This window comes from Homo sapiens, chromosome 9 (genome assembly GCF_000001405.40).
Source record: "Homo sapiens chromosome 9, GRCh38.p14 Primary Assembly".
Classification (NCBI taxonomy): Eukaryota; Metazoa; Chordata; class Mammalia; order Primates; family Hominidae; genus Homo; species Homo sapiens.
The window spans coordinates 115,448,471-115,473,957 of NC_000009.12; the positions used below are offsets into that span (position 1 = coordinate 115,448,471).

Genomic DNA, 25,487 nt, shown 5'->3' on the forward strand with positions numbered 1-25,487 from the left:
CCGTTAAGTATAGTCTTAACTATAGGGTATTTCTTTGTTTTTGCTAAATGCTTTTTATTAAGTTTGGGAAGTTCTCCTTTCCTATTTTTCCGACTTTTTTTTTTTTTTTTAACCATGAATGGATGCTGAGTTTTCTCAAGTATATTTTCTGCATTGATTGATATATTCATGTGATTTTGCTTCATCAGGCTATTTGAATGGTGGATTACATTGAATTGTGAAGATTTTCTCCTATTTAAAGAAATTGTTTTATAGTTGTATGTTTTACATGTAAGTTCATAATCCATTTTGAGCTAATTTTTGTAGAAGATGTAAGACTTAGGTCAAGGTACTTTTATTTACTTATTTTTTATTGCTCATGGATGTCCAAGCACTCTGCACAGTTTGTTGAAAAAACTATATTTCCCCATTGAGGGCAATGGTAGCTACATAAAATGAACTGTAAGTATTCCTTCCTTTTATTTTCTTGAAGAAGTTATGTAGAATTTGTGTTATTTTTCCCTTAAATGTTTGGGAGAATTCTCCAGTGAAACCAAATGGGCCTAGAGATTTCTCTTTAAGCAGCTTTTAAATTATAAAATTGATTTTCTGAATAGCTATAGGACTCTACAAATTACCTGTTTTATTTTGAATAGCAATTTGTGTTTTTCAATGAAGTGTTGCATGTTGCCTAAGTTGTCAGATTTATGTGTCTAGCTTTGTTTGGAGCCTTCCTTCATTATGTTTTTTGTGTCTACAGGTTCTGTAGTAATATCTCCTAATTTGTTCATGAGCTTTGTAGTTTGCATCTTCTTTAATTTTTTCTTTGCCAATATCACTAGAGGGTTGTCAGTTTTATTGGTCTTTCCAAAGAACTATTAAATTAAATTTTCATTTAATTGATTTTCCATATTGTTTTTCTATTTTCTATTTCATTAATTTCTGTTCTTATCTTTTCCTTTCTTTTTTTTTTTTTTTTTTTTTTGCTTGCTTTGGGCTTATTTTGACTTTTTCTCTTTTCTGATGTACATACTTAATGGTATAAATTTTCTTCTCAGCCCTGCTTTAGCTATGTTCCACACATTTTAATATGTTGCATTTCATTTTCATTCAGTTCAATGTATTTTCTTTATTCCTGTGAGATGTTATATTTGACCCATGGACTATTTAGATGGATGTTGTTCAGTTTCCACGTATTCAAAGATTTTCCTCTTATCTTTTGGTTATTTATTTACAGTTTGATTTCATTGTGGTCAGAGCACATTGGATTACTTTAAATTCTTTTAAATTTTTTGAGGTTTCTTTTTTGTCCTAGGAGATGGTATATCTTGACATATGATCTGATGCTTGAAAAAAAAATGTGTATACTGCTATTGTTGAGTAAAGTGTTCTTTGAATGTTTATTAAATCCTATTGTTTGATGATGTTAATTTTTCCATATTATTTTTGATTTTCTGTCTAGTTGTTCTATCAATTATTGAAAAAGGTGTGTTGAAGTCTCCAACTATGAATGTACAGTTATTTAATTCTCCATCAGTTTTTGTTTCATATATTTTTCAGCTCTGTTATTTGATGCATACACACTTAGGTCTGGTATATCATCTTGATAGATTGACCCTTTTTCATTGTGTAATGCTGTTTTCTGTCTCTGATGATTTTCTTTGCTCTGAAGTCTATTTTATCTTACATTAACATAGCTATTTTTGTTTTCCTTCAATAAAAATTCACATGATATATTGTTTTCATCTTTCTACTTTTAACCTTCCTGTATTTTGCCATTAGTTTAATGGCAAAAACCACAATTACTTTTGCATAAACCCCTAATATTTGGAGTTTTTTATATATAGCAAATGACTGGGTCATATTTTTTAAAGCAACTCTGCCAATATTTGTATTTTAATTGTTGTACTTAAATAATTTACATTTGATGTAATATTGCTATGTTAGACCTTAAGTCTGCTACTTGATTTGATTTGATCTTTTGGTTTCGCTTGTAATGTTTTTCATTTTTCCAATTTCTTTCCCCAGCCTTCCCATGGGTTACTGAACATTTCTTAGAATTACAATTTGATATACCTTTAATATTTTTAAGAGTGTATCTTTTGTGGTTCCTCTAGGTAATATATTACATCATTTATACAGAAGTTATTGCAGTCTACTGTTGCCATCATTTTACTAGGTGGAGTAAGGTATAGAAAGCTTACCTCTCTTTATGCTGCTTTAAAATCTTTGTCAGCTGATACTAACATCTCTGTTATCTTAGTTTTATTATTTATTGTCTTTTTTTGTTCTGTTTGAGATCATCCTAATCCTTGACATGATGAGTGGTTTTAAATTAAACAAGGAGATTGTTTTGTAAAAATCTGGATCTTATTTAAACCTACCATTTAAATAAGACTGGTTTTCTCTGACATTGTCCTGCCAGGGGCAGGGAGAAGACCATCTTGTCTGGTGATGGTAAAATCCAGGTTCTCTACTTGATTTTCATTGACACTGAAGGAAGGGAGGCTCATTGCTATTGCTGGAAGGAGTCTGGCTTCCTACGGGATCTCCACTACTGCTACAGAAGGTGTGGCTTTATTACTTTAGATGATGGTGAAAGTCCTGAATCTTCACGAGGTCTGCCCTGACACTGTCCCAGTGTGAAGGGAAATGGGGAGTTGGGGTAGAAGTTCAGAAATTTTATGTGGTCTCTAATGACACCAGCAGGATGGCCCATTACTGGCTAGAGGAATTGAAATCATTGGTCCTAACTTGGTCTTCTCTTAAATCACGCCAGTCTTGGGTATTGGGGGTGCTGTATTACAGCCTTGTGAGGATGAATGTTTAGGCTGCTCCTCACCTGGCATTTACTCGTGCAAGTATGGATTGGTCACAGTTTCTGATGCATTTGTCCATGGTAGATTGATGGTTGCCTAAAATCTGTCTTTATGTCCGGCCTGACTGTTCCTTTCCTGGTCTTTTGCTAGAGAGGAAAACCAAAAAGCTTTTGTTGGAGATTTTGGTCTACGCTAATGCTAATGTCTATGTCTATTAGCATTTTTAGGTTACTGGCTTCTTTGACTCCCAGTCTTGAACACATGAGGCAAAAAGAAACCCACAGACTCACTGTCTCATTGTTCCTCAGGTCACAAGGTCCCTAGATGGCATGCCTTCCTCTCCTCAACCTTCTGAGTCTTCTTTTGTGTGTTTATATATATAGTATCTACAGGTTTTAGTTGCACTTACTAGGAGAAAGGTAGATCTACTCAATCTTTCTGAAGGTGAAAGTCCTTTATAAATAATTTTAAATCATCATATTGAACGCTTATTACCTCTAGAAATAATATGATATTCTTTGTATACAGTCATACCTCTGAGATATTGTGGCTTCAATTCCAAACTAGGGCAACAAAGGAAATATCACAAGTAAGCAAGTGACACATTTTTTTTTCCTTTTTTTTTTTTTTGAGACGGAGTTTCACTCTTGTTGCCCAGGCTGGAGTGCAATGGCATGATCTCGGCTCACCGCAACTTCCACCTCCCAGGTTCAAGCCATTCTCCTGCCTCAGCCTCCCTAGTAGCTGGGATTATAGGCATGTGCCACCACACCCGGCTAATTTTGTATTTTTAGTAGAGACAGGGTTTCTCCATGTTGGTCAGTCTGGTCTCGAGCTCCCGACCTCAGGTGATCCACTTGCCTCGGCCTCCCAAAGTGTTGGGATTACAGGCGTGAGCCACTGCACGCGGCCCACATTTTTTTTAGTTTGCCGGTGCATATAAAAATTATGATTCCATTATACTATAGTGTATTAAGTATGCAATAGCACTGTGTCTAAAAATGTGCATACCTTAATTAAAATACTTTATTACTAAACAATGCTAACAATCATCTGAGCCTTCAGTGAATTGTAATCTTTTTGCTAGTGGAGGGTCTTGCCTCAATGTTGATGACTGCTAACTGGGATCAGAGTGATTGTTGCTGAAGATTAGGGTGGTTGTGGCAATTAGAAAAAAAAATAAGACAACAGTGAAGTTTGCTGTATTGATTGACTTCCTTTCCTGAAAGATTTCTCTGTAGCATGTGATGCTGTTTGATAATTACCCAAAGTAGACCTTCTTTCAAAATTTGGAGGTTGGGCATGGTGGCTCATGCCTATAATCTCAGTGCTTGGAGGTGCCAAGGCAGGAGGCTCGCTTGAGGCCAGGAGTTTGAGAACTGCCTGGGCAACAAAGAAAGACCCTGTCTCTAATGACAACAACAATAAAATAAATAAATAAAAAATAGCCAAGTGTGGTGGTGTGTGCCTGTAGTCCTAGCTACTCAGAAGGCTGAGGTGGCAGATTGCTTGAGCCCAGGACTTTGAGTCTGCAGTGAGCTATGACAACCACTGCACTCCATCCTGGATGACAGAGTGAGGCTTTGTCTTTAAAGAATGAATAAATGAATAAAACATATAAAATTGGAGTCAATCCTCTCAAACCCTGCTGCTGCTTTAACAACTATGTTTATGTAGTATTCTCAGTATTCTAAAGCCTTTGCTGTCATTTTAACAATTTTCACAGCATCTTCACTAATAAATTCCACCTCAAGAAACCACATTCTTTGCTCATCAATAAATAGCAACTCCTCATTTGTTAAAATCTTATCATGAGATAGCAGCAATTCAGTCACATCTTCTACTCCTAGTTCTATTTCTATTTCCATCTCATCTGCAGTTACTTCATCCACTGAAGTCTTGAATTCCTCAAAGTCACTCATGAAGGTTGGAATCAACTTCTTCAAAAACCCTGTTAATGTTGATATTTTGACCTCCCTCCCATGAATCACGAATATTCTTAATGGTGTCTAAAATGGTGAGTCCTTTCGAGAAGGTTTCCAACTTACTTTGCGTAAATTAGAAGAATTATTCCGTATGGCAGCTAAAGCCTTACAAAATGTCTTAAATAATAAAACTTAAAAATCAGAATTACTGCTTGATTCATGGGCTGTAGAATGGATGTTGTGTTAGCAGGCATGAAAACATTAATTTCCTTGTACTTCTCCATCAGAGATCTTGGGTGACTAGGTGCATTGTCAATGGACTGTAATATTTAGAAAGAAATCACTTTTTTCTTAGCAGTAGGTCTCAAAATTGGGTTTCAAATGTTCAATAAACCATTCTGTAAACAAATTTGCTGCCATAAAGCCTCTATAGTCTTTGATTTTATTTATAGAACATAGGAAGAATGTATTTATCATAATTTTTAAGAGTCATAGGATTTTTTGGATGCTAAATGAGTATTGGCTTCAATTGAAAGTCACAAGCTGCACTATGTCCATTGGAGCTTTAAAGTCAGGCATTGACATCTCCTCTCTAGCTATAAAAGTCTTACATGGCATCTTCTTTGATATGGTTTGACTCTGTGTCCTCACCCAAATCTCATCTTGAACTGTACTCCCATAATTCCAATGTGTTGTGAGAGGGGCCTGGTGAAAGGTAATTTGAAACATGGGGGCGGTTCCCCCCATACTGTTCTCATGGTAATAAATAAGTGTCACAAGATATGATGGTTTGTCAGGGGTTTCCACTTTTGCATCTTCCTCATTTTTCTCTTGCCGCTGCCATGTAAGGAGTGCCTTTTGCCTCCCACCATGATTCTGAGTCCTCCCCAGTCATATGGAACTGTAAGTCCAATTAAAACTCTTTTTCTTCCCAGTCTCAGGTATGTCTTTATCATCAGCATGAAAACAGACTAATCTTTCAATATAAGACTGTTTCACCTACATTGAAAATCTGTTATTCAGTAACCATCTTCATCAAATATCTTATCTTCTTGATAACTTGCAGCAGCTTCTACATCAAAACTTGTTGCTTCACCTTGCACTTTTATGCTTTAGAGACAGCTTCTTTCCTTAAATATTATGAAGCAAGCTGTTTAGTTTCAGACTTCCGAAGCTTCCTCTCAGCGATCCTAGAATTGAAGAGAATTAAGGCCTTGCTCTGCATTAGGCTTTAGCTTAAGGGAATGTTGTGGATGGTTTGATCTTCTGTCAAACTAAAACCATCTTTATATCGGGAATAAAACTGTTTTGCTTTCTTATTCATGTGTTCACTGGAGTAGCACTTTTCCTTCAAGAATGTTTCCCTTGGATTAGCAACTTAGCTAACTGTTTAGCACAATAAACTTTTTTTTTTTTTTTCTGTCCTGGCTTTCAAAATGTCTTCCTCACTGAGATTAGTCATTTCTAGATTTGATTTAAAATGAGAGACATGCGATTTTTATTTCACTTGAACACTTAGAGGCCATTGTAGGATTATTATTTGGCTTAATTTCAATATTGTTGTGTCTTGGGAATCACAGAGGCCTGAGGAGAGGGTGAGAGGTGGGGGAATGCAGGTTGGTGGAGCAGTCAGAACACACACAACATTTATCGATTGTTTGCTCTCTTGTATGGGTGTAGTTCTTGGTGCCCCCAAACAATTACAATAGTAACATCAAAGATTACTGCTCACAGAAAACCATAACAAATATAATAATAACAAAAAAGTTTAAGGTAGTATGAGAATTAATAAAATCTAACACAGAGACACAAAGTGAGCACTTACTGTTAGAAAACTGCTACCAATAGACTTGCTAGATTCAGGGTTGCCACAAAACTTCAATTTGTAAAAAATGCAATATCTGTGAAGCACAATAAAATTAAGCACAATAAAATGACTGCCTATTATTTTATTTTGTCCTTAATAGACAATGAGTGTGGTATCATTGTCTCAATTTAACAATTGAGCACTGAGATTGGGAGAAGGTAAGGGGACTTAGCTCAGCAAATGACAAAGTCAGGATTTAACCTATATCTTTTGCTTGTGTTCTTTTATTTAATATGTTCACTCACTTAAAAAGTCATGCTGTAAATTCTAATCTATCCAGGACAGTTGATTTACTTCTGGAAGTTTGTGTTTGTGATGTTTGTTTTGTTTTGCTTTTGGTGAGAGAATTCTTGATAATTAAAAAGATTTCTGAAAGAGAATAATAAAAATGGTAAGAGATTCAGGAGTCAGAACATATGAAGGAGAACTGAAGGAAACTAAATATTGGAAAGAAGACTCTGTCTTCACATATTTGAATAACTCTCAGATAGATGACGCTTTTGAACTATTGTGAGGATCTCAAGAGATATGACCAGGACTCATAATTAAATGTTATAAAGATACTGAATTCAGCTTCATTATAAGGAAGAACAGTTACAAATGTATGAAATGAAGATAACTGTGTTTGTTGGTAATAAATCCTCATTCCTGAGTCAATCAGAGCAGAAGTGGGATGAGTGTCTTGTTGCTGAGAACGATGCAGAAATTTAGCAAATATAACCATGAAGTCCCCTCTAACCTTCACAGTCTTTAGTGCAGGCTCTTTCATGTACCTGCTATGTGATATTGGACTAATTACTTCTTTCTGAACTTCACTTCTATAGAATGGGAATAATAATAGTACCAGCCTCATAAGATGACTGTGAGATTGGATGAGATAATAAATGTAAAATGTTTAGTACTGTACCTGCAATGTAGAAAACACTGAAGAAATCAGCAGTGATAAGAAGGATGATAATATGGTGGGGTCCAAAGGCACTGCAGGAACATTGAGTGTTCAGGCTATTGTATGAGATATAGGTTGAAAAACTGGTCAATGGTCTTAAGTAATAAAGATAGGTAGATCTTAGTAATGAAAAATTTACTCGACCCAACCTGTCTATGGAAATTTCATTATTCTAGAACTGACCTAAGCTTATCACTGACACTTGACATGTCTTACACTCGGGATACATCCCTGCATACAGCAAGTACACAGCAAACGCTGTTCATTTATAGGCACCCAGTTATAGGCTAATTCAAGTTTTTCAGAATCTGTTCATCATGTGAGTTAACCAATCCCCATATCCAAGTTACTGTTTGATCTTTGATCAGTTTCTTAATATTTCTTAGACTTCAACCTTCTGTTTACAAGAAGAGATTAAAGAAGCTCATCTATAGTCTGTGATTTTGCTCTGAGATTTAGTAATTTTCTATTTTGAAATTAACCCGCACATCTGAAGGGGTCAGAAAAACTGTATCACTGCAACTGACCAACAAATCAGAGAAATTTACATTATCAGTCCAGTAGAAGATTGCAATCCAGCCAGATACTATTCTAATTTTATTCCAGTTTTAAAAGCAATGATTCCATGGACCACTGCCATCCTGCTGAGCTTCACTTTCTTAGATGAATTAGCTATTCCCAGCATTGCTTCTTGCACAATTCCTGACTCTGTGAGGGTGAAGTTAGTATTGCTTATTTCACCTCCTTGCAAGGAAAAGCCTTCAAGAAGTTTAGGAACTGGGGCTGGTTCCAAATAGACACTTTCACAGTTAGATCACTTCTAATGGTGAAATATTTTCCAGACAATCTGAATATTTTCATCTATTTAAACACTGTAGTCATCAGGACATGCCTGCCTCCTACATAGGCATTCTATATGAATTCTCAGCCTTCCAGTGGCTAAGGGACATGTCCAGTTATAAGAACTATTCCCTCCCAAATCTATAAGTTAGTGGTGGACGACGTCTTTGGAGAAACTTTTTTTCCTATTGCCTCTCATGCAGTCGATGTCACAGTGTCTCCCAGTAACTCAAACCAAGTGCCTAGAACTCATTTTAATCTTCACGCTTCTCTTTCCCCATCATCAGTTGGTCTCCACTTCCAGTCCATTCTACCTTCTAAGTTTTTTTGTTTTCAATTCAACTCTTCTTCAGTATTAAAACATCCACTAGGCTGGACTATCTATTTGCCTGGATTGGAGTCTCTTTGCCTCATTGGTCAGTCTCACTATCTTCTTCAACATCCTCCACACTGCTTGACCAAGCCATCATTTTCAGTTATACAATGGGCACAGTCATTCCTTGTGTCAATTGTTTTAGTGGCTTCTCATCACCTACAGGATGAAGTTTACATCTCATATGTAGCATGCAGGGTTTCTCATAATCCAGCTAATTCTCCTTTTCTGATTTTACTTCTCATCAAGAACTCCTTTGCACCCAAAGTCCTAATCACTGAACTTCTAATATTTCAGCAATATGTCATATTCTTATTCCTCTGGCCTTTTGCAATTTGATTCTTTTTGCCTATAATGTTCTTCCCTTCAGAATCTATACCTAGCAAACTCACAGGATTTCACTGTGAAGAATTGCTTTAATTATAACCTCTTCTATAATACCTTCCCTAATCAGCTAGGTAATTTTTTCCTATGTACTCATTGTGCTTTTATAAAGGTTATGTTTATTTGATTATTTTTTTCCTTAAAGACTGTGGACACTAAAAGGAAAAAACAATTCTTTTCTTTTTAGGCACAGATTATGTGCTCTACTATTGTATTAAAAATGTGCAAATATCAGCTGGGCGCGGTGGCTCACGCTTGTAATCCCAGCACTTTGGGAGGCCGAGACAGGCGGATCACGAGGTCAGGAGATCGAGACCATCCTGGCTAACACGGTGAAACCCCGTCTCCACTAAAAAATACAAAAAAATTAGCTGGGTGTGGTCGCGGGCACCTGTAGTCCCAGCTACTAGGGATGCTGAGGCAGGAGAATGGGGTGAACCCAGGAGGTGAAGCTTGCAGTGAGGCGAGATCGCGCCACTGCACTCCAGCCTGGGTGACAGAGCGAGACTCCATCTTAAAAAAAAAACAACAAAAAACAAAAAAATAAAAATAAAAATATCTTTCTCTTTGTGGAAAACTAGCTCTCTCTTATTCGCATATGAGAAAATTTTAAGATAAGTAACTTTGGCATTTAAGAAGGCAATAGCCCATGACTAGTGTCTATAGTGGTAGGCAGGCTATAAAACTGCAAGGGGTTGTAAAAGATTCATTTAGTTGATTCTATGCTACCTGTGGGCTATGGTTGTTGGTTAACATTTCTCCTATGAGGCTTTCTTTTTTTTCTTTTAGCATTCAAAATAAACATTTATTTAGCTCAGGAGACCCCACGAAAGTCCTGACTGGAGTAGAATAGTCACCAGGGAAGTGAGTCATGCATGTGTTTCTAACATTCATCTTTCTACCCTGTTTCTGACCATGGAAGGGACATTTTGGCCAAAATACATATGCAGAATAAGACAGATCAAGAGTACACCATTCCTCCAATTCTCAGAACTCCAGATCTAGCAAATCTTACTAACAATAGAGACAAAGTTGGCAGATAGTTGAGAGTCTAGGTCTTTGATCACTCACATTGTGAGGAAGAGAGTGCAGGTGACTGGACCCAAGGCGTGACTGTCCATCTATGCAGTGGCAACGCCACTAACCACTGTATTTTGGTGGGGAATATAAAGATCCCTGTTTGTTCTGATCTTGCAAACATGAAATTATAAAGGGAAAATATGGAACAGAACAAGGGAGACTAAGAAGGAGTGGATTCTAAAAGTAACTGATCAGCAAAGAAAATATCACTTGACGAAAGTGACTTTTGTTTGTTTGTTTGTTTTTTTAGACGGAGTCTCGCTCTGTCGCCCAGGCTGGAGTGCAGTGGTGCAATCTCCGCTCACTGCAAGCTCCGCCTCCCAAGTTCACGCCATTCTTCTGCCTCAGCCTCCCTAGTAGCTGGGACTACAGGTGCCCGCTACCACGCCTGGCTAATTTTTTGTATTTTTAGTAGAGACGGGTTTTCACCGTGTTAGCCAGGATGGTCTCTATCTCCTGACGTCGTGATCCTCCCGCCTCGGCCTCCCAAAGAGCTGGGATTTCAGTCGTGAGCCACCACGCCCGGCTGAAAGTGACATTTTTATACATCCTCATAGAGAAGGTTTGTTTACCGTGTGCTTCCTGATTCTCCTGTGTTTAAGACATCTTCTGCCTTCGCACTCCTCTGTTCTTTCTTTGCTTTCACTCCTCCACCAGGTTTTGATAATTTTTCAAGCTTAAATCAAACCCCATGTCTTTCATGAAGATTCTCTGATCTGTTTCATAATCCTAATCCATATCATTACCCTGCTTGGCACATACGTCAGGTGGCATGGTTCTAGCAAGAAACACCTTCTTTCTTGCTAATGTTGTTAAACTGATAAGTTCGCTTGACCTCTCTGACCTGTATTTCTGTGAGAAGACACAAAGATTCCAAATCACAGAAAGGTTCAAAAGTTTTATTTCAGATCCTTTTCTAATGTTTGCTGTGAGAGAGGGGTCAAAGAGAAAACAGAGCCAGATACTTGTTAAAGGTCGGAAGATAGATTTTATTCAGACTACTATAGAAGAAGGAGAGACTCTAATATAGAACAAGCTCAACTCCAACTAAGATGAAGATAACAAAGGTTTTTAAAGGGAGAACAGATAGGGAACAAAACTGGACTAAGCGGGAATGAGAAAGAGACTGGGAGCTATGTAGAAATGGAGAGTTACAGAAAAGAGAGGTAAGTGGAAAATTACTTAAAATGGTATGGCAGGCCGGGCGCGGGGGCTCACGCCTGTAATCCCAGCACTTTGGGAGGCCGAGGCGGGCGGATCACAAGGTCAGGAGATCAAGACCACCCTGGCCAACATGATGAAACCACGTCTCTATTAAAAGTACAAAAATTAGCTGGGCGTAGTGGCGCACGCCTGTAATCCCAGCTACTCGGGAGGCTGAGGCAGGAGAATTGCTTGAACCCGGGAGGCAGAGGTTGCAGTGAGCCAGGATTGTGCCACTGCACTCCAGCCTGGTGACAGAGCAGGACTCCATCTCAAAAAAAATAAATAAATAAAATGGTATGGCAAAGTGGGTTGGAACAATGTACATTTTGGGGTTTGGTGGCTTGTATTTTCTCGAGTAAAAACTCAGCATGGAAGCAGAGGTTGCCTTTAGGGACATAGCTTGGTGCAGATGAAAGCCAGGCTAGAGTTTGGTCAAGTATCTTCAGAGTTTGGACAAGTCCTTTTTGCCACATGAGAGTCAACTGTTCACAGATAAAAGGGTAGAAAATACAGAAGAAATAAGGGAAGCCTGTGACAGGGAATTTAGTGGACAGTATAATGGCCCCAAAGATGTCCACATTCTAATTTCTAGATCTTCTGAATGTTTCTTTACTAGGCAAAAGAAACCTTACAGATGTGATTAAAGTTAAGGATCTGGAGTTGAATAGACTATCCTACGTTATTCTGGTTGGGCCCAATGTAATCACAAGGGTCCTTGTAGGAGGGAGCATCACAGTTAGGGAAGGTAATGTGGTGTGAAACAGACCAAAGAGAGATTTGAAACTGCCATGCTACTGGTTTTGAATATGGGGAAGAGGCCAGGGCTGAGGAATAAAGGCAGCCTTGAAGTTTGATTAGGCAAGAAAATGGATTCTCCCCTAGGGGCTCCAGAAGGAATGCAGCTCTGTAGATTCCTTGATTTTTGCCCTGTATGACCCATTTTAGACATTTGGCATCCAGAATGGTACAATAATTGATTTGTGTTGTTTTAAGCCATTAAAACCTGTTTGTGTTTGTGGCCATTTGTTACAGCAGCAGTAGGACAATAGATAATAATGATCATTACCCTTGTGCTACCCACTTCATCATTGCTCCCAGGCCCTGGCATCTCATCCCAGGGACTGAACTGGTACCACATCCTGAAGACTGTCACATCTCAACTACAGTGTGCTCTGAATCTTGTTCCCAGAAGCAGAGTTCCATGGTAGAATAGGAACAGGGTTGATATTCATTTCCCCAGGAATGTCATGGCATTTGTTACGTTGCTTGTGGTTTTGATATCAATATTAATGATCCTAATGTAATCGTCATTTTATCATTTAATTGCATTTCCTTGATGAATTAAATGACTCCCTAGCTAATTGACATTTAAAGACAGAGTACATGCTCCTTTCACTGACTTACTTAAACATGAAAAGGTTGGAGTGATTAGCACAGGCAAAAGCTCATTTCTAAACTATTTCAGTCGTCTTTTCACAATCTGCCAATAATTTCTATTCCAAAAGCAATATTGGCTAGGGTACTGGAAGAATGTGCTAGTATTTTCAGACAGACTGCAAACTACCAGTAAAGTTTACTGAGCAACTCTGTTACTCAAGCCACAGAGTTGATAATTTTTTCTCCTGGGAAATCATATGTTCCCCTTCACTGCTATTTCTCATCCCTTCTGTGCAGGTTACGGTGGTCAGTGTTCAGGACACAAAGTCCTAGAAATGTGGCATTGCATATTTTATCAGCTTCGCCCTCTGAATTCTAGTTCTGTTCCCAACCAGATCTCATTCTTTCACATTGATATAACTGAGTTAAGACTCAGGTTTTGAGCAAGATATCAGGGAGCAAAGAACCACTGTGATAATTTAGCAACTGTGAATAAAGAGCATATAATATACCAGGAACCGTGAAAGCATTTTGTAATTACTTCATTTCTTTAATCTGAATTCTTATGTTTTCAATCTGACATTGGTTAATGTTGGTGCACTATTGGTTGGAGTCACAGTTGGGCTTGGAAAGTAAGTAGCTACAATTCCTAATAGCTAGAGAGTTTTCAGAGTAATAATGTATACTTTCGTTCTTTTTCCCTTAAGAAATGGGGCCATTCCTTGTTACAGAGGCAGAGTGTATGGCATTCTAGCCCTATAGGATGGTTGATAAAAAATGTTTTTTTGAACATATATGTATTTGTGTGCACCCTAACAATTTGAAATAATTTTTGTAGATTTAGGCTTTTCAAACATGTAGCATATGCATTTTTGGAATTAATACTGTCTACCCTGGTTGTGCCTCCACCAGTTCATTCATTCATACATTTATTAACTAAATACATATTTAGCAGTGTTGTTGAGCACACTTCTGAGTATTATGAATATTATGTGAACAAAACAAAGTTGTTTCATGAAGTTTATATCCTAGTGAAAGAAACGAGCAATAACGACAAGAAAACTCACTTATATAAGGTCAGATGGTGATAATTCTTATCTGGGAAAATAAAGCAGAGAAGAAGAAAGGGAGAAACAGACACATACATCAGAGAAAGCTTTTCTTGAGGTGGTGATGTTTGAGCAGAAACCTGAATGAAGTGAGAGTAGCCGGCCATGTTTCTCTATGGGAGAAGAGAGTTCTAGGCTGAGGACTGGCAACTGTAAAGGCAATTCTGATGTAGAAGAGTGTCTAAGGCCATTGTCCTAGGTTAGTTTGCCCATGCTGTCTTATAAGTTATTCATTATGGAAGCATTTGCAGAAGGAATCTGTAATGGAGTCTAGGAGGTAGGAAAGGAAAGAGTAAGAATTTACACAAAGTGCTGGCCTTAGCTTCGTCTTTCCTGGAGATTATACTACACTTCAGGGAGCCAGGGAGGAAGTCGACTCCCCTAGATTCCAGGTCTCTGTTAGGATAGGCAAGAGGATTAGCTCCATATGCCCAGGGGCAGTCCTTTAAACAAAGTCTCGGGGTCAGCCATTAGAAGATAAGGCTCGCAGAGGGTGGACGATGAGCACAAGAACAACACAGAGATACAAAAGGGTCTGGAAAAACCATCAACTGTGTCTGCTAGAGCCAGCGTACTGAAGCACAGTGCGAGAGTGTACAGAGCAGAGGATCAGAGAGCCCTGTCAAGGAGGCAGTCAGGAGCCAGACCATGGAAGGGCTTCAGAGTTTTATAAGTGCTAGGAAACCAGAGGTATTTGGAACAATAGAGTGGCATGATCTGATTGACATTTTTAAAGGATCATTAGACTGTGGTGTGAATCCTAGACTTGGTGGAATAAGAGTAGAATAATTTAGACTTGCTAGGGGGCTATTAGAGAATTCTAGGGGGATTATGATGTTGGACCTGCACTGCTTGTCCAACACAGAACCCACTGGTCAAATATGCTTACTGACAATTGAAATGTAGCTCCTTTAAACGAACATGCTCTGTAAGTGTAAGTATGCATCAGACTTCAAGGGCTTAATAGAAAATAATGTAAAATGTCTGCCTAATATCTATTTTGTATTAACTACATGTTGAAATATTTTTCTCAAATAATTGCTCAAATGGATGAAATAAAGCATTAATAAATATGTTAATAAAATGCTATTAAATATGTTATTCAATGGTTTCTTCTTACTTTTTAAAATGTGGCTACTGGGAAATTAAAAATTGTATGTAGGACTCACATTATATTTCTGTTGGACACCCAGTTTAGACTCAGATGGGGAAAAGTGCTTAGATCCTGCATATATTTTGAAAGTAGAGAGGACAGGAATTGTTGATAGATAGTATATGAAGTGTAAAAGATAATCAATCAATGATAGTAATATTTTCTGAGATGCAAACAACTGGGAGAGAGGGGTACATATTAAGGAGGGTGATAAATGGAATTTATTTTTGATCATAAGTTGGACGTGTCTAAAGAACCTTGAAATGGAGGTGCTGAATGGGGTGGTTGAATATATGAATCTGGAGCTCCTTGTAGAGATCATGGCCGGAGATTTATGTGTAAAGATATTTAGTGTATACATAATTTTTTAAGTGATTAGACCAGATACCATCATCTAAGGAAGAACATAAAGAAAAGATAAGTGATCAAATCCTGGAGTGGTCAATCTTGTGGAAGACTGGGGTCTGGTGGGGGATCTTATGAATGAGACTTGCTAGCCATCTGAACTTTGTCAGGTCACTTAACTTGTTTAAGCCTTTGTTTCATTATGTATAAATGGGCACTAATAATAGAGTAAATTTCATAGGGTGGCTATGAGAAGTAACTGGGATAAAATAATATGTATCCACACTTAGTACAGGGTCTGGCAAAAATCAAGAACATGGTATCTCACTGTATCAGTCACCAGGAACAAGAAAGGCCCAATTTTGGGGGTGTTTGCCCAGTTTTTCTAATATCAGAAAAAATTAAACTGTTTGACCACTCCAGACTAGGAACAGAGCTAGTACCTTTTTTGTCTCTCAACTTTGGCTTCCATTTGGCACTTTTTGAAATGCAGATGCCATATCTACATGGACCTAGAATGGACTAGCAGAAAACCTTGCTTGGTTTCTAACAAGAAGAAAAGATATTTAATTTGAGACTCTGAGCCAGGGGGAGAGCAGGCACTCACATTTGTGTGTGTTTGTGTGTGGCTGGAGAGGTAGCAGAAGTGTTCTGTTGGTTGGGCAATGAAACTGGATCCCTATCTCTCACTATATACAAAAAAGTAACTCAAAATAGATTAAAGACTTAAATATAAGACCTGAAACCCTAAAAATTCAAGAAGGAAACACAGAAAACACTCTTGTGGACATTGGCCTAGGCAAAACATTTATGACCAAATCTCAAAAGCAAAAGCAATAAAAACTAAAATAAATAAATGGAACCTAATGGAATTAAAAAGCTTCTGCACAGCAGAAGAAATAATCATCCAAGTTAACAGACAACCTACAGAATGGGAGAAAATGTTTTCACATTACGTATCTGACAAAGGACTAATATCCAGAATCTACAAGGAAGTCAAACAAATCAGCAAGAAATAAACAAATAATCCCATTAAAAAGTGGGAAAATAACATGAATAGACACTTCTCAAAAAAAATATATATATGATATATATTGAACATTAAAATATATTACATAAATATATTGAACATTAATATATAACATGTAAAATTTAACATAAATATATATAGCATTAAATGGAAAAAGAAGATCATTCAATTTCATTTTGAAGAAAGGGTTACATGCACATGTATGTTCATCACAGCACTATTCACCATAGCAAAGACATGGAATCCACCAAGGTGCCCATCAACGGTAGATTGGATAAAGAAAATGTGGTACATGTACACCATAAAATACTTTACAACCATTAAAAAGAATGAAATCACTTTTGCAGCAACATAGCTGCAGTTGGAGGCCATAATCCTAAGCGAATTAATGCAGGAACAGAAAACCAAATACCACATACTCTCACTTACAAGTGGGAGCTAAACACTGGATACTCAAGGACATGAAGATTGCAACAATAGACACTGCAGATTCCTAAAAGGGAAGGGGGTGCAAGGGGAGCAAGGACTGAAAAACTAACTGTTGAGTATTATGCTCACTAACTGGATAACAGGATCATTTGTATCCCAAACTTCCACATCACTCAATATACCCATGTACCCCCTGAATCTAAACTAAAAGTTATAATTATTTTTTTAAGTGTTAATACCCCAATTAAGCAAAAGCCATGATATGGGTGGAGGGGGTGATTTTTCAGCTGTACATATGCATTTCAGTATATGCACACATATAAACATAAAGGTATTTGGGTGACAGATACACTAAAAGCCCGGACTTTACCACTACACAGTATACCCATGTGACAAAATTGCACTTGTACCCCTTAAATTTATACACATTTTAAAAATGTAGAAGCATTAATATGTACACATATAAGCTTGGATTTGGGCTAGCTTGAGGTTAGAAAGTGGATAATTAAAAAAAAGAGGAATGGGAAATTATATAGATCTTGCTTTGTTTTAGGCACTGTGCTCTGTACTTTACATAAACTACTTTACCTACTTTTCACAAATTATTTGTAAAATAGCTACCAGTAGCCTGGAGGCCTTACATAAATTGCCCTGAGTCACACTACCAAAAAGTAACATATGAGGGCTTGGAAGTGAGTCTATCTGACTTTAAGATCTAGATAAGTTTTCTACTCCATTGAGGAGTAGAATACTTCCAAACATTATTCCAACAGTAGTCCAGTGACTAAACTTTTATAATAAATTTCTGCCTGGGGGTTAGCAGTAGCAGGTGTATGTATTGGAGCCCCATTCCTGGATAATCTTCATGCCTAGAGTTATTGCAGACATCAAAGAGGCCGTGGACATCCAGTCAACTCATTTGACACATGATGAAACTGAAGCCCAGATGTGATTCTTACACCTACGACCACATGGTTATTTACAATGAGGAACAAAGATCAGGATTCCTGTTGTCCAGTCCTAAACAATGTCACCTTCTGTCACCTCTCAAAATGGGGCACATGCAAGGGGCAGGACTTTTAGGACTCACATGGGCTCATATAAAAATGTAGAAGAGACAACTCCCTGACAGAATTTAACTGGAAGAGAGTCCTAATCTGAGCCTTTTGATTTGACCATTCTCCTTCTAGGGTCGAATCGAAAGGCTCAGGTTAGGCTTGGGGAGATAATTTGGTATCTGTGCATTCTTGGAGTTCACTCCACAGAGGACAGAAATCCATAGGCATGCTGCCTTTATGGGAAGCACTTGTTTGCCTAGAGGGCTCTCTTCCCTTTTAACTTCTCTGGGAACTCTGCTAACATGTCAGGGAGAGCTGATCAAAACAGTAAATGAGGACCCTGACAAGGATTTTCAAAAATTGCACGCAGATGTCTCCATTTCAGAGAATTGGAAACACAAATCTTTTTTGGATTGCTGTAGCAACAGGGAGAGACAAAACAACACATTGCAAGAAGCTGTCCTGTGGGGACTGATAGCAATTTAGGAGAGTGGAGCTGGGGGATTGCGGAGTCCAGACCAACATGTGCTGAGACTGGGAATCCCACTGTGGAACGTGGAGCTTGTGTTCTGATGGAAACCACCAGTCTCCACGGCACATTCCCTTCGGTCTGAGCCCCAGTGTGAGAATGTGAAAATGTGAAATTGGGAAAGGAAAGGCAGGGGGCCAGAAGTAAAGCATGGGCTGGAAATGCTGTCTTTTTGGCTCAGTCTTCATTTGCTCTCTACCAGTCCTCCGGATCACGACCAGTAGAACACAACAATCACGTGTTCACAGCAGTTTACCATTTACAAGTTATTTTTCTGCAGCTACTGTCTGAGTTGCTCATTTCATCATTTCAATTTAGATAATGGATAATCAGAGCTCAGGGATAGGAATCTAGAATTGTAGTTTTAATTTAAGCCCTTCTGGCTCTAAAACCCTTGACACTAAGCCACACTAACCAGAGGGTTCTTCAATCATTTCATTGTTATTGAGAAATTTTAACTTTCTTTATACTTTGCCTGTTAGGCCTCAACTTCCCTCTGAGTGGCAAATCTGTGGTGGCCAAAGAGGCTGGCCTTTATTTCTTTGTTTGGCTTTACTTCTGAGTTATGAATTGGGAAAAGGAAAACTACAAAGTTCAGGGTCAAGCTGTTGGGCATATGCTGGAGTCAGTTGATACAATCTAATGATCTCAATGTCCAAAGGGTCTATAAAGATCTATCAATCTAATTAATTCTTAAATGACACACAATTTTTAAGTCACGTATCCAAGTAAGCAACCTCCCAGTCACAACTGAAACCTTGGTTGGTTTTAAATAAAGGTTAAATGTTTAAATGGGTCACTCAACAAGAACTCATTGTACCCTCATGACTGTGTTTTTGACATCATGACATTAACTAGTGTGGTTCACTACATCCTGGTTGACATCATGTTGCCTGAGTTAATGACCATATGTGTACCAAACATAGTAATTAACTAAAGAGGCTACTTAGAGGCAGAAGTGAGCAGTCCAAGGGCTCTGGATAACTACAAAGATCAAGGGGATTAATACCCTTGCAGGCCTCCTGACTGCAGCCCCTCAGTTGGGAAACTCAGCATTAAATGAACAGTACAAATTAGAATAACTTTTCTGGGGTCAGGGAGAGTATATAAATCTTTTGACTATGCCTCTTGACTTAAAATAGTGAAACAAGAGAGTTCCCTTGGCCCCTTTGCAGGACTTGTGAAAGGGGTGGCTCGTTTACTTGGCCATTGTGCTCAACCCCTTATGGGAGGGAACACGCAAGCAGACAGGTGTGGGAACCAGAGTGAACAAACACTGGAACCACCAGCCACTTCTCTCCAGTGGGAACAGGCCCTGTTTAGGCCTCATGGCAGCATCCACATGTGTTACAATTGCTCTTTTATCTCTGCCTTTGGGAAGGGATGCCTGGGACCCCTGGAACCCCAGAGGGCATGCTAACAGCTCAGTGAGGCATTTACCTCATTGTATGGGCCAGCTTCCCTCTACCAGTGAGGACTAGGGGCCAGTGTGACAGCCTTTTTTAGTTCCCCCACCCAGGGTGTCCTGAATTCTTGTCCAATGTCCAAGAGAAATGAGGTCACATGGACCTAAAGGATGGTGAATGCGGAGATTTTATTGAGTGGTAGAAGTGGCTCTCAGTGGGATAGGGAGCTGGAAAGGGGATGGAGTGGGAAGGTGCTCTTCCCCTAGAGTTCAGCTGTAGTCTCTGATGTCCAGCTGCTTTTTCTCCTCTAAACATTCTGATGCTTCTCTCTTCTGTTCTCTGCCACACTGCTCTGCTCCTCTGCCAGTGGAGCTTGGGGTTTTCATGGGCACAGGATAAGGGGTGTGGCAGGCCAAAAGGAAACATTCGGGTGGGAAAACGGGGATGTGAAGTTCTCATTTTAGCATTTCCCTGCCTTCTGTCCATATCAACAGCATTGATAAACCTCATCATATTTATGTGGTATGCTATTTCAAAGCTATTTTTATTCTATTTCTATTGCAAATACCACTGTCAATATAACACTAGCAATACTATGAATGGGGCTTCACATATATTTATAATGGGGATCTGATGTGAGTCACATATTATCATAAATGCTTCATATATTTATTTTTTCAGTTTTGCAATGATCTTAAGGGCTGTTTTCTTATTCCCTTTACAGAAGAAGTAAGGCATAAACAACTAAAAGTAAAGAGATTTGCCCCAGATCACAGAGTCGGTAACCCCCAGAACAAAAATTTGAATTCATATTTGTTTGAATTCAAGGCCATTGCTTTTTCTATCTCAGAATAACATGGAGACAATATTAAAAATGGATTTTTTTGGAAAGGAAGAAATTGGCATATAGTTGCTTATAAATTAACGAATAGCCTAAATGGAAGTAAAACAGAGAAGAGGATGTAAAAGCAAGAGGTGACTCCACAGGTTGATGTAAGAAGAAGAGAACAGTAGTACTAGATTAGAGTTTTTTGCATTGTTTTACATTTGTTTATTTTATTTTATTTTTGGTGTTGTTTGCTCATTTAAAGTGTCCCAGTTACCATGAGTCCTACCAGAGCTTCAATGGAAAAAGTGCTTAATGGTCAAATAAGCCACAGGCTCTATCCTCCTTGGGCAAGTACAAATATATTATTATCATAAAGGCCCTCTTCATTTAGAAAGTTGAAGCCTAGAGGGATAGATTTAGCTTTACCTAGTGTTTCTTAAATGATTTAGCATTACCTTTCTCTTCAAAATACCTATTAACATTCTGTAGAAGTAGCTGTCTCAGGAAGTCTTTTTTGGGGAGCCATGTATTAGATGCAGGAAAAGTTTTCTCCTAGTTTGCCAACAGGTCCCAGTATAGATTAAACATTCTAAGGGCCCCAAACAAATCTTTTCAAATCTGTCTCTACTCAGCCACCAATCTAGGAAGTTGAAACAAAGGATCTATGACTGTCTCCCATTTCTGTTAGGCAACTCAAATAGCATTCCCATTAGAAACTCAGGAAATTTTAATTTCAAATTGCAAGAGATTAACGTCAATTCCCCACTACACCTTTGAAGAGAATGATTAAACTAGTTCTTGAGTTCTTGGTGCTAAAACATTTGAGTCATAGGGATGGGGTCTGGGGGCAGGGCTTTGTGTCTTCTTTCCTTTGTCTTTCTCTGCATTTTCTTAACAGCTGGGCACAATTAAATCACAGATGTTAACAGTGCTGGATAAAACAATTATTGTTACATGACTTTTCTGAGAACTCGGTGGGTGGGATTCAAGAGGTAACTTGGTGTGAAAACTATGTTTAGCACAGCAGAACTTGGGACTGACAAAGACATTTATGGATTTTATAATACCAGATGGACTCCCAGATGAAAGGCTTAGGGTTTGCATTTGGGATTGCCGGATGTGAGATTTTTCCAAGGTTGCAGGATAAGTGAGGAAGATTTCATCCATTAGTGTATGTCAAAGTGTGCCCTGCTGGCTTTGAGCATCCAGTGTGAAGCCAGGGACAGGAGAGGTGTCTTCACACAAGACCAAAATGGAAATCAAAGTCAACTTTCAACCTGGAATAAAAAGAGAACTGAAACTGGGACTCAGAAGATCTGGGCTCCAGTCTTCCTTTTATACTACGTTTTTTAAGACTTTGGTCAATGGAAGATTCAAATCCAGCACACATTTATAGAACATTTATTGATATTGTAGATGCTATCAAGAAAAACAAAACACAGTTCTCAGATTCTCAGTGATGAAAATTTACAAGGAGAAAAAAGAAAATATGTGATTAACTGGCTGAAGTAAAATATAAACCAATCACTAAGGATAATAACTCAACCAAATAAATGAGCTACAAGATAGTAGACATGGCCAGGCACAGTGGCTCACATCTGTAATCCCAGCACTTTGGGAGGCTGAGGCAGGCGGATCACCTGAGGCCAGGAGTTCGAGACCAGCCTGGCCAACATGGCAAAACCCCGTCTCTACTAAAAGTACAAAAATTGGCCGGGTGTGGCTACTCAGGAAGCTGAAGCAGGAGAATTGCTTGAACTGGGAGGTGGAGGCTGCAGTGAGCCAAGATCACGCCACTGCATTCCAGCCTGGGTGACAAGAGTGACACTCTGTCTCAAAAAAAAAAGGAAAGTAGACATGAGTCTGAGTTGATCTTTAAAGGATTTTGACAGGTAGCATTATCCAGGTCAAGAGAAGAGTAAAATCAAAGGCACGGAGGCTTGGCCATAGTTAGAAACCATTTGGGAACTTGTGATTTGAAGGTAAAGAGTTGTGGTTGTAACTCAATAATAACTTTGGATAGTTTATTATTCTTTCAGGCAGCAGGAATGTAATGATGAGAAAATGGGGAACTTCTGAAGACTTTGGAACAATTATAATTCATATCACATTTTAGGAAAAGACAGAATACATTTCATATCTCTAGTCCAGAGATGGATTTTTAAAAATACAGATTTTAGCCATTATTTTTGTCACTTTATCAAACATTGAAGCCTTAGCCAGATAACATCCTCTCTCCAGACTTCAGTATGAAATGAGCTGTAGACTTTGGCTCCTTTCAGAACAAAATCAATTTAATGTAGTCTCTGTGGTGGTCAAAGAAATTGGAGAGGTGATTGGCTTCCTTTTTCTGCACCAGGAACCTTGCCCCCAGACATCAGAACAAAAGGTAATCTATGAATGACTTTAAGTCACCTTGCCTATGCATTGATCAGCTTAAAGAGCTAGCTCTACAGTTGCTATCCTGTTATAGGGAGTGCTGTCTTAGAAAGTGTTGTCACTATACTCATACTGACCCTAACTGAGATCTGCACAGAAACAATCCCTGGTAAGCATCCTTTATAGCACTGCTACAAAATGCAGTTTGTAATTTAGCTGTTATTTGGAGACATGCTTTCATCTTGAGGCTGGATGACCACTTTTCAGCTTTGGACTAAATATTATTCTTAAATGTCAATTGCACATTATAATGCTGGGTGTCTGTAACAAAATCTTCTTCAAAAGTAAATAGAAATTTGTTTATAATAATCACCCTTAATGCCACCTCATGTTAAAAAGTAGTGTTTTGAGAAATGTCAGTATTTAACTGACTTTTTCAGAAATAAGAATAATACAATTTTACAGAGTAAGTTTTATCTAAGAGGCTCAATAGCATGCAAAACTCATAAATGTCCAAAATGTTTTATTGCCTTTGGAATTCTACTTTTCAAAATTTTCTATAGAGACAGTGAATTCAGAAAACCCAATGGTAATACATGAAACAACACATGTAACTAAATCACTGTACAGACTTGGGCAAATCACTTCCCTTCCCCACTCTTGGTTTTTCCCAGGTTGTTACTGGATTTAAACTGGATTGAAATCATGGTTGGGACTTATGTAGAGGAACAGATCTAGGGATAGTATACCTGATAGAAGAAATAGCATGTTCAAAGGTAAAGATGAGACTCATTTATTTGTAGGGTATGGAAGAGAGGGAAAATAATATGCAGACTGATTCTATTAAATCCCATTAATTCTGAGTAAAAACCACAAGCTAAGTGTGAGTCCTTAATTTGAAATTCTTAAACATCTGAATAAATAGCTTTGATTTTTACTTCAGCTTTATTGAAGGTCTCATATGATTATTAATGAGCTAATTTTCACAGTTTTGGGAGATGGGTAGTTTTACGCCCATAGTAAAGAGATGGGGACACAGTAGCTCAGAGGAGTTGTGGAACCAGGGCAAGAACCCAAACCTCCCATCTCTAGGTTATCTGGCCTCTTAAAACAGCAAGTAGCCATTTCAGGTTCTGGTTTCAATTATCTAACTACACTCTCAATGCAAACAAAGATTTTGAAGCAATATTGAACCCCACAGAGAGATCCTGGAAAAATATTCCCAGTGCTTATGCATACACACAGCATTGTTTCTATAGAGGCAGTAAAAGTAGGAAAAAAAAAAAAAATAAAGCCTCCAGCAAGTGCTTCCATAAGGCCACCTGAAATTCTGGGATAGCTCTACTATTCCAATGCGACACTTAAGAAACGTCATGTAAAGTTTTACAAGAGGAAATGCTCCTACTTTTTGCACAAAAACCACCTCTTAATATTCTTTCATGGTAAGCAAATATATAAGAAGTCATCGGTATACTGAATAGTTGATGACTAAAGATTATTTTATACTTTTGATGTTTTTAATTTTACTTTGTTTTACATTTGCATAAAATTATACAAATTTACTGTGTACAACATGATGTATTAAAGTATATATACATTGTAGAATGGATAAATCTGGCTAACACATGCATTACCTCACATAGTTATTGTCAGGCCTCTGAGCCCAAGCCAAGCCATCGCATCCCCTGTGACTTGCACGCATACACTCAGATGGCCTGAAGTAACTGAAGAATCACAAAAGAAGTGAATATGCCCTGCCCTACCTTAACTGATGACATTCCACCACAAAAGAAGTGTAAATGGCCGGTCCTTGCCTTAAGTGATGACATTACCTTGTGAAAGTCCTTTTCCTGGCTCATCCTGGCTCAAAAAGCACCCCCACTGAGCATCTTGTGACCCCCCACTCCTGCCCGCCAGAGAACAAACCCCCTTTGACTGTAATTTTCCTTTACCTACCCAAATCCTATAAAACTGCCCCACCCTTATCTCCCTTCACTGACTCTCATTTCGGACTCATCCCACCTGCACCCTGGTGAAATAAACAGCTTCATTGCTCACACAAAGCCTGTTTGGTGGTCTCTTCACACGGACGTGCATGAAATTTGGTGCCGTGACTCGGATCGGGGGACCTCCCTTAGGAGATCAATCCCCCGTCCTCCTGCTCTTTGCTCCGTGAGAAAGATCCACCTACGACCTCAGGTCCTCAGACCGACCAGCCCAAGAAACATGTCACCAATTTCAAATCCGGTAAGCGGCCTCTTTTTACTCTCTTCTCCAACTTCCCTCACTATCCTTCAACCTCTTTCTCCTTTCAATCTTGGCGCTACACTTCAATCTCTCCCTTCTCTTAATTTCAATTCCTTTCATTTTCTGGTAGAGACAAAGGAGACACATCTTATCTGTGGACCCAAAACTCCGGCGCCG

General features: G+C 38.5%; 2 annotated features.

Annotated features, from left to right (window-relative positions):
* Window positions 17,097–19,584: an enhancer, noted in NCBI's record as "VISTA enhancer hs1625". NCBI's record gives its function as "enhancer in: forebrain[8/12] | branchial arch[8/12]" and the evidence as "EXISTENCE:transgenic organism evidence [ECO:0001131][PMID:17130149]".
* Window positions 24,292–25,073: an enhancer, noted in NCBI's record as "OCT4-NANOG-H3K27ac hESC enhancer chr9:118235041-118235822 (GRCh37/hg19 assembly coordinates)". NCBI's record gives its function as "activates a minimal SCP1, AML or CMV promoter by ChIP-STARR-seq in naive H9 embryonic stem cells {active_cell/tissue: H9 hESC(naive)}" and the evidence as "EXISTENCE:reporter gene assay evidence [ECO:0000049][PMID:30033119]".